Consider the following 16,195-nt stretch of genomic DNA (forward strand, 5'->3'; position numbering starts at 1 on the left):
GGAAGGGGCGGATGAGGCAAGGCTTGGGTCGGCTGAGGAGCCTGGCGTCTAGGGGCAATGTCTGAGGGGACTGGGGTCCTGAGGGGGCCGGCGGAGCCGAGGAAGGGAAGGGCGGGCGACCCAGGAGCACAGCCCCGGCTGGAGGCACAGGAGGGCCCAGGCTCGAGGGTCCAGAGGGGATCCGTAGAAAAGGTGTCCTTCAGCAAATGTTCCAGCGAGCCGGGCTCTGTATCATGCAGTGGGAATATTGAGGTGAATGAACAATCGTCCCTGCCTCTCCACGTGCTCACTTTCTAGAAAAGGGGTCACAGGCCCATAAGTAAGCAAGCAAGCAGGTAACGGTGGTCGCGTGAGCTTCCCCAGTTCTAGACGTATGTAGTATAGGAGTACTCCAGAGGAGGGTCTGGGGCAGCTCCACCGGGTGGCATTAAATAAAAGTCTGGGACGGTCCTTTGCAGTAATTTTTTTTTTTTTTTGAAACAGAGTCTTGCTCTGTCGCCCAGGCTGGAGTGCAGTGGCGCGATCTCGGCTCACTGCAGCCTCCACCTCCGGGGTTCAAGGGATTCTCCTGCCTCAGCCTCCCGACTAGCTGGGATTATGGGCGTGCACCACCACGCCTTGCTAATTGCTTGTAGTTTTAGTAGAGACGGGTTTCACCATGTTGGCCAGACTGGCCTCGAACTCCTGAGCTTGTGATCCACCCGCCTCGGCCTCCCAAAGTGCTGGGATCACAGGCGTGAGCCACCGTGCCCGGCCTGCTTGTAGTAATCTAGATGAGAGAAGTCAGTAGCTTATAGTAGGGTGGTAGGAGTAGAGGTGGTGAGAACTGGTTTTGAATTCTGGATATATTACTATTTTAAAGATAGAGCCCAAAAATTACCTGTGGGATATGTGGGTGCAAAGAGAGCTAGTCTGAAGATAAAAATAAGAAACGTGTGGGATTGCTACCCCATTCCCAGTGAGTGTCAGTAGAGAAGAGGAGATGACCCGTGGCTGAGCATTAGGGCATTTGGACATTGAGTGCTTGGGGGAAAAGAGAAGCCGGGGAGGTGGGGGAACACCAAGAGGGTGAGGTGTCCTTGGAGTCAAGTGAGGAGAGCAAGTGGCCTAATGTGCCAGCTGATAGATCAGGCTAAATGAGAAGGAGAGTTGGCCATTGGATTTAGCAACGTGGAGATCATTAATGAGCTTGGAAAGTGGTTTTGATGGAGCTGTTGGGGTGAAAGGCTTTTTGGAGTGAGATTATGACAAAATGGGAAGAGAGGAAGATAGTGAGGGTGGACAGCTCTTTCACACATTTTTGCTTCAAAGGACACCATGGAATTAGGGCTATAGGGGGAGAGAGAAGAGAAATAAGGGTTTTTTTTTTTTTTTTTTTAGATGAGGAAAAGCACATGTTGAAATGCTGATGGGGCCGGGTGCTGTGGCTTACACCTCTAATCCCAGCACTTTGGGAGGCCGAGGAGGGTGGATCACCTGAGGCCAGGAGTTCGAGACCAGCCTGGTCAACATGGTGAAACCCCATCTTTACTAAAAATACAAAAATTAGCTGGGCATGGTGGCGTGTGCCTATAATCCCAGCTACTCGGGAGGCTGAGACAGGAGAATTGCTTGAACCCAGGAGGCAGAGGTTGCAGTGAGCCAAGATCACGCCATTGCACTCCATCCTGGACAACAGAGCGAGACTTTGTCTCAAAAAAAAAAAAAATGCTGATGGGAATGATCCAGTAGAGAGGGAAACAGTGATGATGAATGAGTACTAGCAATATTTGGGGGCAGATGGGGAAAAATTGAAGGGGTAAAATGGAACAAAAGTCGGATTTACTTCTTCTTCTTATTATTATTTTTTATTTTTTGAGAAGGAGTCTCGCTGTGTCACCCAGGCTGGAGTGCAGTGGGGTGACCGTGGCTCAGTGCACCCTCCGCCTCTCGGGTTCAAGCAATTCTTGTGCCTCAGCCTCCTGAGTAGCTGGGATTACAGGCGCCCACCACCACACCCGGCTAATTTTTTTGTATTTTTAGCAGAGACGAGATTTCTCCATGTTGGCCAGGCTGGTCTTGGACTCCTGACCTCAAGTGATGCACCCACCTCGGCCTCTCAAAGTGCTGGGATTACAGACGTGAGCCACTGCACTCAGCTGATTTACTTATTAAGTAAATATTTATTGAGTGCTTCCTACATACTGGGCGAGACACAGATCTCTGCCCTCTTTGATTTTTTTTTTGTTTGTTTTTTGTTTTGCGGTGGCGGGGGGGGGTTTTGAGACGGAGTTTCACTCTTGTTGCCCAGGCTGGAGTGCAATGGCGTGATCTCAGCTCACCACAACCTCCGCCTCCTGGGTTCAAGTGATTCTCCTGCCTCAGCCTCCCAAGTAGTTGGGATTACAGGCATGTGCCACCACCACTCCCGGCTAATTTTGTATTTTTAGTAGAGACGGGGTTTCATCATGTTGGTCAGGCTGGCCTTGAACTCCACCCGCCTTGGCCTCCCAAAGTGCTGGGATTACAGGCTTAATCCCAGAGCCACAATACAAAGCCACCATGCCCGGCCTCTGAATTTTTTTTTTTTTTAATTTTTCTTATTTATTTTGAGACAGGTTCTTGTTCTGTCACCCATGCTGGAGTACAGTGGTGCAATCTTGGCTCACTGCAACCTCCACCTCCTGGGTTCAAGCAATTCTTGTGACTCAGCCCCCCAAGTAGCTGGTATTACAGACATGTGCCACCATGCCCGGCTAATTTTTGTATTTTTAGTAGAGATGGGGTTTTGCCTTGTTGGCCAGGCTGGTCTTGAATTCCTGGCCTCAAGTGATCCGCCCACTTCAATCTCCGAAAGTACCAGGATTACAAGTGTGATCCACCGTGCCTGGCCCCTCTTTGATTCTTTTAAGTGATGCTCTAAGTAACTGATCTCTTCTTCCTGTACAGTTTTGATGGCGACGACTTTGATGATGTGGAGGAGGATGAAGGGCTAGATGACTTGGAGAATGCCGAAGAGGTCAGTATTCAGCCTCAGGCTCCCACCTCTGCAGCCCAAGCTGCCAAATCGTCTGACAGGTGATGATTAGCTGAATGTGTCTGCCTTCTATTTGTGGTCAAGGCCCCTGCCATAAGCATTCCCAGTTAGAGTGAGCTGTGTTCCAGTCTTGCATAGCAGAACAGCCCTGCAGGGTGGGCCTGAAAGCTTTTGTCCATGTGGTCCACAGCCTGTGGCTTCTGGGGCAGTTAGTTCACTGACAAGTTAAACGGTGCCTTCCTTCATTTGGCAAACATGTGTTGAATGTTTATTATATGCCAGGTGCTTTCTGCTGGGTGGGACTGCTTAAGGAGCAAAGGGAAGAGGTAAGCAGGGCTCAGATGAGGCAGTATTTTGTAGCCTAAAGGCAATGGGAAGCTACTGACAAACTTTGAGCCAGGGCACAGTCCAGGTTACATTTTAGAAAGTACATTCCTGCCTCGAGTAAGGAGTGAACTGGGGAAGGGCAAGAGTGAAAGGTGAGAGGCCTGTGGCTTGGACATAGGTGCTGGTAGTGCAGGTGATGAGAAGGCAGATAAAAGAGTTATTTCGGTGGGTTGGTTATGGGGCTGAGAAAGTGAGTGGTGACGAGGACGACTCTCAGGTTTCTGGCTTGAGCAACTAGGTGGATAGGTTGCCAGCCTCAAGAGGAAAGTAGGGCTTTCTGTCTTGTGTGACTGATGAGGGAAAAAATGCAGTTATGTTCTGGAGAGACATGGAGCCTTCTCTCTCTCTGCATGGCACTTTCAGATACCTTTTCACTTGAGTCAGATGCGTCCTTCTCCATCCTTCTGGTCCCCTTCCCATCCCTGTCATGTAGATTGTGCCTCCTAGATGTACTTCAGCCCTGTCTGCATTTTTCTACTCCTGGTGCCTTAACCTGGCTTAGATCTTATTGCTTTTCAGCCACATTCCTGCAGGAATTGTGTGGCTGGTTTTCCTGCTTCAGTCTCACTCCAGACTCTGCTCTGTGTGCTCTTCTCCTTTCAGCACCCTTTCTTACTTGCCCACATGCTCAGTTACTACTGGCTTTCCTAAATGGCCTCTCTGCTTCTGCCACTGCCCCCTGCAGAATATTCGCAACAGAGTATCCAGAGTGATCCTTTCTTTCTGTTTTTTGTTGTTGTTGTTGTTGTTTGTTTGCTTGTTTTAAATTAAGAAGTGGTGTCTTGCTACGTTGTCTAGGCTAGAGTACAATGGCTATTTTCAGGTGTGGTCATAGCGCACTACAGCCTTGAACTCCTGGGCTCAAGTGATCCTTCCAGTTCAGCCTCCTGAGTAGCTGGGACTGCAGGTTCTGCACCACCATGCCCAGCTCAGAGTCAACTTTTTTTTTTTTTTTTTTTGAGACGGGGTCTTGCTCTGTCGCCCAGGCTGGAGCGCAGTGGGGCGATGTTGACTCACTGCAAGCTCTGCTTCCCGGGTTCATGCCATTCTCCTGCCTCAGCCTTCTGAGTAGCTGTGACTACAGGCGCCCACCACCACGCCCGGCTAATTTTTTTTTTTTTTGTAGTTTTAGTAGTGACGGGGTTCACCGTGTTAGCCAGGATGGTCTCGATCTCCTGCCTTGTGATCCGCCCGCCTCGGCCTCCCAAAGTGCTGGGATTACAGGTGTGAGCCACTGCGCCTGGCCTGTTTACTTAATTCTTTATATACCACAGAATTTATTCTCTTGCCTACAATCCTCTACGCACCTTTTGTTCTAATTATTGTCCACAACTAGTTGTCCAAACCTCTTTCTCCTCTATGCCTTTGCATGTTGCCTCCTTCCTCATTGGTTTGACAGCTCCTGCTCATCCTTCTAGGTGAGCTCAAGCCTCATCCCTGGAGTTTTCCTAACCCCCAGTGTGAGTGAGGTGTCCCCACCTCCTCGGGAACTCTGTTGCACCCTTCATAGCACCTGCTCTGTTTACTCTTGTCTCCCCTTTAGACCATTAATTGAGAGCAGAAATTCCTAGCTTTCTTTCTCAGCATCTGTTAACAATATCTGGCTCAGGACAAATGCTTAGTAAGTAATTGTTAAATATTCCTGCCTTCACCTTGACTTTTCTAGCCACTTGGCCCATTGGCTCAGCTCCCCTATCTGAAAGATGGGAAGACTATTCCTAGCTTCCTGCTTAGGGTAATTTTTTTGTGCCAGGACCTCTTTTACAGGACCAACATTCTGATACCACCCCATCTCCAGGCCCTCTGCTCTCTTCTGGATGAGGCAGTTAGCTCTGGAATCTCAGACCTCCATTACCAGGTCTGAGGCTTGGTCAGGTTAGCTGACTTTCCAAGCCTCTGAAATGAGAACTGTAATCCCTGCCTCATAAGGTTATTGTAAGGATTACATGAGTTGTTAGGAAGCAGTTATGTGGTCCCCTGGCATGCAGTAAGCATTAACGGTGGCTGTAGCGAGAATTGTGATTGTTGTCATTATCACTCTCCCTGTAACCCAAAAGTGCCACCTGAGTCTTTCCCTCTTTTTTGTCTTGGTGTCCAGGAAGGCCAGGAGAATGTCGAGATCCTCCCCTCTGGGGAGCGACCGCAGGCCAACCAGAAGCGAATCACCACACCATACATGACCAAGTACGAGCGAGCCCGCGTGCTGGGCACCCGAGCGCTCCAGATTGCGTGAGTGATTGCCCCTTCACTGTCTTCTCCATCTGTCAGGCCACAGTAAGCTCTTGTACCGCTGATCTTTCCCAGCCTGGCACCTGAAAACAGACTCTCTGCTCTCACATTCCAAAAGTGGTGCCGTCCCTGCGTACCAGGCATTGAGCTAGTCCCCTGCCCTCAGGGAGCTTGTGATCTAATAGGAGAACTAGGACATGAACATCTGAGAAGTCAAGTAACAATATGGGAGAAAAACGATAAAAAAAAAAAAACAGAACTAGATGGTTGCGTGTCAGATTAGTGCAGCAAAAAAGGTGAATTCAGAGCCAATGTGTACCAGTGTAGTTTTTTTTTTTTTTTTTTGAGATAGAGTCTCGCTGAGTCACCTAGGCTGGAGTGCAATGGCACAATCTCAGCTCACTGCAACCTCTGCCTCCCAGGTTCAAGTGATTCTCGTGCCTCAGCCTCCCAGGTAGCTGGAATTACAGGCATGTGCCACCATGCCTAACTAATTGTTGTGTTTTTAATAGAGACGGGGTCTCGCCATGTTGCCTAGGCTAGTCTCGAACGCCTAGCTTCAAGTGATCCACCTGCCTCTGCCTCCCAAAGTGTTGGGATTGCAGGTGAGAGCCACCGCGCCCGGCCATGGTGGTTCTTTGTTGTTTTATTTTCCGAGTCAAGATCTCAATCTGTTGCCCATGCTGGAGCACAGGGGCCTGATCATGGCCCATTGCAGCCTCAAACTCCTGGGCTCAAGCAATTTTCTTTTCTTTTTTTTTTTTTTTGACAGAGTCTTGCTCTGTCTCCCATGCTGGAGTGCACTGGCCCAATCTCAGCTCAGTACAACCCCTGCCTCCCGGGTTCAAGCGATTGTCCTGCCTCAGCCTCCCGCGTAGCTGGGACTACAGGCGTCCACCACCACACCTGGCTAATTTTTGTATTTTTTCTTTTTTCTTTGAGATGGAGTCTCGCTCTATCACCCAGCCTGGAGTGCAGTGGCGCGTTCTCCGCTCACTGCAAGTGCTGCCTCCTGGCTTCACGCCCTTCTCCTGCCTCAGCCTCCAGAGTAGCTGGGACTACAGGCGCCCGCCACCGTGCCCAGCTAGCTTTTTGTATTTTTAGTGGAGACGGGGTTTCACCATGTTAGCCAGGGTGGTTGGTCTCTTTCTCCTGACCTCATGATCCGCCCGCCTCGGCCTCCCAAAGTGTTGGGATTACAGACGTGAGCCACCGTGCCCGGCTATTTTTGTATTTTTAGTAGAGACGGGGTTTCACCATATTGGCCAGGCTGGTCTCAAACTCCTGACCTTGTGATCCACCCGCCTTGGCCTCCCAAAATGTTGGGATTACAGGCGTGAGCCACCGTGCCCGGCCGGTGCAATTTTCTTTTTTCTTTTTTTTTTTTTTTGAGATGGAGTCTCGCTCTGTCGCCCAAGCTGGAGTGCCGTGGCGTGATCTCGGTTCACTGCAATATCCACCTCCTAGGATCACGCCATTCTCCTGCCTCAGCCTCCCAAGCAGCTGGGACTACAGGTGCCCACCACAACGCCTGGCTAATTTTTTTGTATTTTTAGTGGAGATGGGGTTTCACGGTGTTAGTCAGGATGGTCTCCATCTCCTGACCTTGTGATCCACCTGCCTTGGCCTCCCAAAGTACTGGGAGTACAGGCATGAGCCACCGCGCCTGGCCGGCTCAAGCAATTTTCTTGTCTCAACCTCCCAAGTAGCTTCAAGCTGGGATTACAGGTATGTGCCACTATGCCTGGCTTTGTATTTTTTGTGGAGATAGGGGTCTTGCTATGTTGCCCAGGCTGGTCTTGAACTCAGCCTCAAGTGATTCTCCTGCCTCAGCTCCCAAAGTGCTGGAGCTGGGATTACAAGCATGAGCAACCATTCCTGGCTTTAAGGTGGTTCTTGATGTGAGGTAGACTATGGCCAGTCCAGCAGAGTGGGGGGCCCTCCAGCTTGAAAGCACGCTAGAGAGATGAAAGCACAGAGCAGTGGTGGGGTTTTGGGGATTTGAAAATCAGCAAACTTCCCTCCTCTCCCACATTTGGGAGAATAAAGATTCAGGAGATAGAGTAGACAGGTGGAGATGCGAGTGTCCAATGAGTGCAGATGTGTTAGCCATAGGCAGTGCAGGCCTTCAGATGCCTGCTAAGGTTTGGGGCAGACTGGAGAACAGACTGGAAGCACCCTCTGCCAACAGATGGCTTTGAGAAAGCAGGGACTTTCAAAGAGGCTGGGCCACAGATGCCTGCTTTTTTTCCCCCCAGGCTCACCTGTCAGAATAGTTCCTCCTCCTTTCTTTTGAGGAGTAGGTGAGGGGACAGAGCGGGGTACTCTAATGGTACTGTGGGGAAGCATGAGACTGAGAACAGGAGCCCCTACCCCAAACTCCCTATAGACTGATGTGGGAAATGGTGGGTATCTGGAGGAGCGGGGGTAGTTCAAGTAGGGAATAATGGAAATTAGCCTAGAAAGAAAAGCAGCTGGGTGCCGTGGCTCACAACTGTAATCCCAGCACTTTGGGAGGACGAGGCAGGTGGATTGCTTGAGCCCAGAAGTTCAAAATCAGCCTGGGCAACATGGTGAAACCCCATCTCTACAAAAAATACAAAAATTAGCTGAGTGTGGTGGCGTGCGCCTGTAGTCCCAGCTACTCGGGAGGCTGACGTGGGAGGATCACCTAAGGCCAGGAGGTTGAGGCTGCAGTGAACTGTGATCGCACTACTGCACACCAGCCTGAGTGACAGAGACTCCATCTCAAAACAAACAAACAAACAAACAAAAAAAAAACAAAGGAAAGCTGGGGCCAGATTTGTGGACTCTGTGTGCTTACAGGGGCAGCAAATGCTGTCTGTACATTCTCCTCCTTAGTGTTCAAGCAGCACTGGGCTGTTGCCTCCTCTAGTCCTGTAGGGGTAAAGATGACCATCATGTCTACTTCAATAAAGGGTTTTATGGGTGGACAACATTGTTCTCCCCCATTCCTCAGTAGCGGACCTCTTCTCAGCCTGGTTGCACTCCTTGCTCTTATGCATGGCATTAGAGCCACACCCAGTGTGACAGCCATACCCAATATGCCACCAACGTCAGGATCCTCTGGGCCTGCACCATCAACTATGGTAGCCATGAACTGTATGTGTCCATTTACATTAAGTACAATTAAATAAAATTAGAAATTCAGTTTCTTTCTCACTAGCCAGCCACACTTCTTTTTCTTTTATTTATTTATTTAATTTTTTTTGAGACGGAGTCTTGCTCTGTCACCCAGGCTGGAGTGCAGTGGCACAGTCTTGGCTCACTGCAAGCTCTGCCTCACGGGTTCACGCCATTCTCCTGCCTCAGCCTTCCCAGTAGCTGGGACCACAGGCACCTGCCACCACGCCCGGCTAATTTTTTGTAGTTTTAGTAGAGATGGTGTTTCACCGTGTTAGCGAGGATGGTCTCGATCTCCTGACCTTGTGATCTGCCTGCCTCGGCCTCCCAAAGTGCTGGGATTACAGGCGTGAGCCACTGCGCCCAGCCTATTTATTTTTTTTTGAGAAGGAGTCTCACTCTGTCACCCAGGCTGGAGTGCAGTGGTGTGATCTTGGCTCACTGCATCCTCCGCCTCCCGGGTTCAAGTGATTCTCCAACCTGAGCTTCCCGGGTAGCTGGGATTACAGGCACCCGCCACCACGCCTGGCTAATTTTTGTATTTTTAGTAGGGACGGGGTTTCACCATGTTCGTTGGCCAGGCTGGTCTTGAACTCCTGATCTCAGGTGATCCTCCTGCCTCAGACTCCCAAAGTACTGGGATTACAGGCATGAGCCACCACGCCCAGCCTTTTCTTTTATTTTTTTAGAGACAGTTTGGCTCTATCACCCGGGCTGGAGTGCAGTGGTGCTATCATAGCTCACTGCAGCCTCAAAACTTCTAGGCTTAAGTGATCTTCCCACTTCAGCCTCCCAGGTAGCTAGGACTACAGGCTAATGCCACCACACGTGGCTAATGTCTTAATTTTTTGTAGAGACAGGGTCTCACAAAAAGACTCCTGGCTTCCAGTGATCCCCCTGCTTCAGCCTCCAAAGTGCTGGGATTACAACTAGCCACATTTCAAGTGTGTTCAGTAGCCACATGTGGCTACTGGTTACCATAAAGGATAGCACAGGGGGATAGGACATTTCTGTCATTGCAGAGCATTCTATGGGGCACACTAATATAGGCTAAAAGTGGCCCAGTAGAAAGAAGAATTCATAAGTTATTTTTAAAACAAATAGACTGCTTATTTGCAAGTTAAACAGTCTTTCAGCACTGAAGAAAGATACTGCATTAGCACTTGATAGGATGCTGAGATGATTAAAGATGTAGTCCCAGCCGGGCGCGGTGGCTCACGCCTGGAATCCGAGCACTGTGGGAGGCCAAGGTGGGCGGATCACCTGAGGTCAGGAGTTCGAGAGCAGCCTGGCCAACATGGTGAAACCCCGTCTCTACTAAAAATACAAAAATTAGCCGGGTGTGGTGGCGCGCGCCTATAATCCCAGCTACTCGGGAGGCTGAGGCAAGAGAATCGCTTGAACCTGGGAGGCGGAGGTTGCACTGAGCCAAGATCGTGCCACTAATCCAGCCTGGGTGACAGAGTGAGACTCTGTTACCAAAAATAATTAAAAAAAAAAAAAAAGACATAATCCCCAGTCCTCCAGGTGTTTTCTGGTGGGGGAGATAGACCTGTGCACAGGTACCCACAACCCAAGGCAGATGCGAGTGGTGCTTTATGAAAGGTACAAAGAGAGTTATTGCAGAGGTGACTGGGAAAGCCTTGTGAAGGGATTAGAATTCTAGTGGGGACAGGTAAAGAGAGTTGGTTTTGTGGGTACTCCAGGTGCCAGAAACAGCCCAAGGAAAGGTCCAGGTGGAGGCAGGCAGTTGTGGATTTGTGATGAGGGATCATAAGCAGCTTGGGGCATAAGGCTGGAGAAGATGACACTGGTCCTGTGAGTGACAGGTTCAGAAGATTAGAGTTCATTTGGTGGGCAGTGTGCAGCACTTAAAGGTTTTGAGGCCAACATCCAGCATCCAGGCCACTCATAAATCCAAGTGTCCTGTTTTTCTTTTCTTTCTTTCTTTCTTTTTTTTTTTTTTTTGAGATGGAGTTTTGCTCTTGTTGCCCAGGCTGGAGTGCAATGGCATGATCTTGGCTGATTGCAACCTCTGCCTCCTGGGTTCAAGGAATTCTCCAGCCTCAGCCTCCTGAGTAGCTGGGATTACAGGCACACGCCACCATGCCTGGCTAATATTTTGTATTTTTAGTAGAGACGGTGTTTCACCATGTTGGTCGGGCTGGTCTTGAACTCGTGACCTCAGGTGATTCACCTGCCTTGGCCTCCCGAAGTGCTGGGATTACAGGCGTGAGCCACTGTGCCCAGCCAAGTGTCCTGTTTTTCTTGGGGAGCAAAGCTTGATCCAGCTCATTCCAGTCTTTAGTGCTCTTTCCACTTAAGGGCTATGACACCATCTGGTGGCTCCTTGCCTGCTGTAAGCTCTTGTACAGCCATAATGGGACTCTGCACTTGGTAGGTGCAGGTGGAGTCTCACTCTGTCACCTAGGCTGGAGTGCAGTGGTGCCATCTCGGCTCACTGCAACCTTCACCTCCTGGTTCAAGCGATTCTCATGCCTCAGCCTCTCGAGTATCTGGGACTACAGGCATGTGCCACCACGGCCGGCTAATTTTTTGTATTTTTAGTAGAGACGGGGTTTCACCATGTTGGCCAGGCTGGTCTCAAACTCCTGACCTCAGGTGATTCACCTGTCTCAGCCTCCCAAAGTGCTGTGATTAGAGGCGTGAGCCACTGCACCTGGCCAGAACAACTGTTTGTTGGGTAGGTTTTGGATGGGGTTTCAGTCTGGTTCATTAGCACCACCTGGTGGCTGATGATGTTTGTCACATCTACTTCTTAACTGGATGGTTGATGTGTTTCTCTGTAGAAGCCATGGTGCAAGAAAAATTAAATTACTTAAGGACACATTCTTGCACATTCCATGTGCATAATAGGTGCGGAATGAGTGAATGCCCTTGAATTATTTATATTTTGAAAGAAAGCAGGCACATGCAGATCAGGTATTTTGCCACATTCTTTAAAGCTTTATATTTTGGGAAAGTTTAAATACTTATTAAGAGAGGATATAGGGAAAGTTAAATACTTCATCTCTGCCCTTGGGAAATTTTCAGGCTTTTGGGAGTAATATAAATCGAAATATTTAGTAATAAAATTAGTAAGCTGGTAGCTCTCAGACTAGCTGATTATCAGAATCATCTGGGCAGTTTTGCAAATGCAGGCTCTCAGGCCGCTTCACTAGAGATTCTATTCCGGGGGTCTGGGGAAGGACCCAGGAACCTGTATTTTTTAGCATGCTCTCCTGTTAATTCTGGATTTGTTGGTGTGAACCTGAGCTGGAATCATCAGGGGTGGCTTCCTAGAGGAGATGGGCCTAGAATTGGCATCCCTTTGCTTGGTGGTAGAGTCCCCACTGTGGGCCAAGTGTTATGCTGGGGGCTGGGCCTCCGTGGTGAATCACATGTGGTTCTGGGCCACTAGGAGCTCATGGTCTAATGTGGAAAGTTTCCAAACAAGTAGTTACAGTTCAATGAGATTGGTGCCAAGAAAAGTATATGCAAAATGAGTCCAGGTACTGAAGAGTCAGCACACGATTTCCAGGGTGGAGACATCTGAACCTCTCGCAGGTTTTTAGGGAGAGGAAGAGCTTGTAAGAGCACACAAAAGGGAAACAACATGGCGCATCTAGGGAACCAGAAATAGTTTGGTATGGCTGGAATGTGGAGTAAATACAGGAAAGTAGCACGGGACTGTGCTAGGAAGGCAAACAGGGACCAGACTGCACTCTGGCCTGATAGCCAAGGGGAGTCATGACAGTGTTGTAAGCAGGTGAGCCCCCTGACTGCTGGCCTCAGGTGAAGGGTGGGGAGGGCTGGGCAGGAAGGGCAGGGCCTCTACTGAGGTGTTGTGTCTATAGAGAATGGAAATGATGCCGGGCATGGTGGCTCATGCCTTTCATCCCAGCAATCTGGAAGGCTGAGGCAGGCGGATTGCTTGAGCCCAGGAGTTCGAGACCAGCCTGGGCAACATGGCGAAATGTTAATTTCACCCATCTATACAAAAAATAAAAAAATTAGCATAGCTGGTGGTGTATGCCTGTAGTCCCAAGCAGGAGAATTGCTTGAGCCTGGGAGGTGGAGGTTGCAGTGAGCCACGATCTCCCCATTGCACTCCAGTCTGGGCAATGGGAGTGAAACCTTGTCTCCAAAAAGTAGAGAGAGAAAATAGAAATTGAAATGAGGTGCACTGGGCACTGAGGCAAGGCTCTGGGGTTGGAGCAGTTAGAATGGTGTGCCTTTGCACATGTCTCCCTTTCCACCAGGACATTCTGCTGTGGCCGCTGGACTCCGGAGTCTGTGATAGGCCTCTGCCAGGGAAGATCTCTGGCAGTGCCCCTACACACCACTCCCTACTGTGCCTGCCTACCTAGAAGATGACGTTTCTAGGTGGGGACCAGGATGCCGTTCCACCCTCACTGCCTGTTGGGCCCTTCTCCCTGGGTTTGTAGTCTCCCTAACACCTGTCCCTATCCCTACAGGATGTGTGCCCCTGTGATGGTGGAGCTGGAGGGGGAGACAGATCCTCTGCTCATTGCCATGAAGGAACTCAAGTAAGTCACTCAAATCATGGTTCACTTCTCCAAATCTCTGGGAGGCATCTGTTGGGCTCTCTGTTGCACCCTTTGCTCCCACTTGCCTGGCTGGAGAAGTTGATGCTTATTCCTACAGATCCTTAGGAACAGCTCACCAGGAAGTAGGAGGAAGAGAGAAGAGGAGGCAGGGAAAGTGGGAGGGCACTGATGAGACATGGACGTCTTCTGGCTGTTGGAATTTCCCTGTTCCTGCTGCAGGAGGCCTTACCAATATTCTGTCATTCTTCCCCCTCTTGTCTGATATAAAAACTTTCTTTTTCTTGTAATTGCTTTCTTACAAAGTACACTCATCAGCCCCAAGAGGCTGCTCCTAAGACTTCTCTTTGCTTGTGTTTTGCACACAATCTGTTCCTTCTGCGGCAGAGCTGGGGTCACCAGCCCTCATGTACTTGTGACTTCTCCCCTGCCACAGGGCCCGAAAGATCCCCATCATCATTCGCCGTTACCTGCCAGATGGGAGCTATGAAGACTGGGGGGTGGACGAGCTCATCATCACCGACTGAGCTGGAGTCATCTTCCTGCCCTTGCCCCATGCCCAATTTTCATTCTCACTTTATATGTGTAAATAATAAAATATTCAACTTTCCAACCCCCTTCCCCTCTGCTTATCTGCAATGTCACCACCTGTTGCTTCCCCGTTACCGCCATGCTGCGTGGAGCATGCACCTATTCCAGTGGCCCTGTGACTGTCAGCTCCTTAAGAAGCACCAGGGGCCCTTAGCCCCTTTGGATCCCCCACATCCTTCCCTCCATCTCCCTGTTCCCCAGAGCAAAGGCTGCTGCAGGGGAGACACCTCAGCTGCCTTCCAAGCAGACAGACAAGTCTTTGTGCCCAGGGAGCTGGTTGCCACGGAAACCCCCAATTTCCTTTCCAGTGGGGACTGGCTGCAGGGGCTTCTCCCTTCTCAGGAGTATCACAGAGCAGGTCTCATCAAGCCACCCATTGTTTCCTAAGGACCTGCTTCGAGCCTCTTATCGTGGGCTCGGATCCCCTTTCAGGAGCAGTGCCCCAGCAGGAAGCGTGGGGGTGTGCTGATCTCCCACCCTCCCCAGGCAGAGCCCTGCTGGGCAAGTCAGCAGCTGGAGCAAGGACCGAGCACCTGCCTACCCCTGCCCCCATGGCTCTGTCCCCACTCCTCCTCAGGACTCTGCCCACACGCTGTCCTCTGTGGCCCACCTCTTTGGTGTGCCACACCCATGCCTTCTTCCTAGCCTCTATAAGATATCCTTTCCCTCCTATTTGGGGCTGGTGATCCCCTGAGGCCTTGGGGACATGGTGCTGGGGTGGTGGTGCTCCTGGGTTCCAGGTGTTACATTAAGTCAGAGCTGGAGTTCCCCCTTCCTCTGCCTGAGGTTCTAATGGGTCCTCTTCCTTTCTCCACCCTGCTTACCCAACCTGAGGTAAGACCAGTCACACTGGCTCCTCCCTCCTAGAGGGGGTCAGGGGGAGGGTGTATATTGACATGAACAGGGATAGAGGGTAAACTGGCTCCCTGAATATGCCAGCCTTAACCTCCATTCCACTGCCAGCTCCCCTTCAAAGAGGAGGAGCTGGGCTTCCCTAACCTCTGCAGGAGGCAGGGCCTCCAGGCCTAGGTGCAGCCTGGCCCTGGGATGGGATGTGGGGAGTGAATGGTGAGGATCTGCATTGGTGGGAGGGGTGTCCGCTGCCCTGGAGAAGGGTTAATTCAGGGAGCAGTGGACTTCACACTCCCATCCACCCTCCTCCAAGCCTGTGGAATCCTTTAATCAAGTTGGGTGCTGAAATTTCAGCTCTGAAATGCCGCCTTTGTGCTGGCATCCAGGCAGCCGCCCCAGAGTGCGGGGGTCACTTTCTCGGCCCCATTTCTCTAAATGGTCTCTTTGTTCCCTGCTGGGCTGCTCAGTATCAGATGTGATTAAAGGGAGATGGGGTTTGGGCTGGGGAGGAGGGGAATTGGGGGTTAACCCTTAGGGGATAGAGTGCAAGGGAAATGGGACAGAAGGGGTGTTTTTCCTCCTGTCTTCCTCTTCCCATTCTCCTCTTTTGGGGAGTCCCCTGCTATTCAGCTGTCTGGGCCTGGCTTTTGACTTCTCTTGAATAAAATGTCCCGGTCACCACTATTGGTTCTGTTTTCTTAGGGTTTGGGCATAGTCTCTTGAGTCATTTCCAGAAACACCTGACCCTTTTTTAACAAGTGGAGCTCCTGCCTTCCTGAGGCCTGTGCACACTTGGAACCTTTGGTCTAAGGGATGCACACAACCCAGGTCTTCTGACTTCCTTGGGGTCATTTCCCCTCCTTCCACATCCTCAGTGATTTCCCACTCACTCTCATGAGATGTGGGGTCTTGGAGGTGATAGTGTCATCTTCCGGATGTGCCCCCTGCTCCCCACTGTGCCAGCTCCATATCCCTCATCCCACGGCGAGCAGGAGTAGTGAACAGACCACAAATGGACAAAAGTCCTGCCTTTCAATGAAGGGGAAAGGGTGGGTTGTAAAGATTATAAACACATAAGGTTAGTACTGATTGATCCATGACAAAATTCTAGAATAGGTCCCTCCATGTTTAAAAGTGCTTATATAATAAAGAGGAGATCGGGCACTAGCATAGGGTGTCTAAGAACCAATATTGCCAAATAAGTTTTTTTTTCGATGGTTACTGGTCCAGTAGGTTGAGAGAATGCCAGAGATCAGTGAATCTTGATTTTGACAAGGCATCAGTAGTCTCCATGCCACTGTGACAGAGAAGTGTGTGCTTCATGGTGATGTAATTAGACAGTTTTAGAACTGATTAGACAGCCTCAAGAGTGGAGATAATAGCTGGGCGTGGTGGCTCACACCTGTAA

The 16,195-nt window shown here is 50.3% G+C and overlaps 1 protein-coding gene and 1 non-coding gene across 7 annotated transcripts in view, besides 4 other annotated features; both read left to right on the top strand.

The window, feature by feature from the left end:
* Positions 1–16,195, top strand: part of POLR2F (RNA polymerase II, I and III subunit F) — an 88,253-nt gene that overhangs the window by 182 nt on the left and 71,876 nt on the right. For 3 of the 6 annotated variants that reach the window (NM_001363825.1, NM_001301130.2, NM_001301131.2), the window contains exons 2-4: positions 2,929–2,998; positions 5,502–5,632; positions 13,255–13,326. In NM_001363825.1, the coding sequence (NP_001350754.1) occupies positions 2,929–2,998; positions 5,502–5,632; positions 13,255–13,326 (273 nt within the window). Of the gene's footprint in view, positions 1–2,928; positions 3,058–4,529; positions 4,628–5,501; positions 5,633–13,254; positions 13,327–13,780; positions 15,469–16,195 lie in introns of those variants that run through there. The other 3 variants (NM_001301129.2, NR_125371.2, NM_021974.5) reach the window with 3 other exon arrangements.
* Positions 21–90: a silencer, noted in NCBI's record as "silent region_13705". NCBI's record gives its function as "represses an Ori minimal core promoter by ATAC-STARR-seq in GM12878 lymphoblastoid cells {active_cell/tissue: GM12878}" and the evidence as "EXISTENCE:reporter gene assay evidence [ECO:0000049][PMID:35858748]".
* Positions 11,062–11,561: an enhancer, noted in NCBI's record as "H3K27ac hESC enhancer chr22:38360913-38361412 (GRCh37/hg19 assembly coordinates)". NCBI's record gives its function as "activates a minimal SCP1, AML or CMV promoter by ChIP-STARR-seq in naive H9 embryonic stem cells {active_cell/tissue: H9 hESC(naive)}" and the evidence as "EXISTENCE:reporter gene assay evidence [ECO:0000049][PMID:30033119]".
* Positions 13,719–13,780, top strand: MIR6820 (microRNA 6820). The gene has a single exon (NR_106878.1). It is a non-coding gene; the product is annotated as a microRNA 6820 (primary transcript).
* Positions 13,795–14,295: an enhancer, noted in NCBI's record as "H3K4me1 hESC enhancer chr22:38363646-38364146 (GRCh37/hg19 assembly coordinates)". NCBI's record gives its function as "activates a minimal SCP1, AML or CMV promoter by ChIP-STARR-seq in naive H9 embryonic stem cells {active_cell/tissue: H9 hESC(naive)}" and the evidence as "EXISTENCE:reporter gene assay evidence [ECO:0000049][PMID:30033119]".
* Positions 14,678–14,972: an enhancer, noted in NCBI's record as "tiled region #10540; K562 Activating non-DNase unmatched - State 17:Gen3'". NCBI's record gives its function as "activates a minimal TATA promoter and a strong SV40 promoter by Sharpr-MPRA in K562 cells {active_cell/tissue: K562}" and the evidence as "EXISTENCE:reporter gene assay evidence [ECO:0000049][PMID:27701403]".

The sequence above is a fragment of the Homo sapiens genome, chromosome 22 (genome assembly GCF_000001405.40).
Source record: "Homo sapiens chromosome 22, GRCh38.p14 Primary Assembly".
Taxonomy (NCBI): domain Eukaryota; kingdom Metazoa; phylum Chordata; class Mammalia; order Primates; family Hominidae; genus Homo; species Homo sapiens.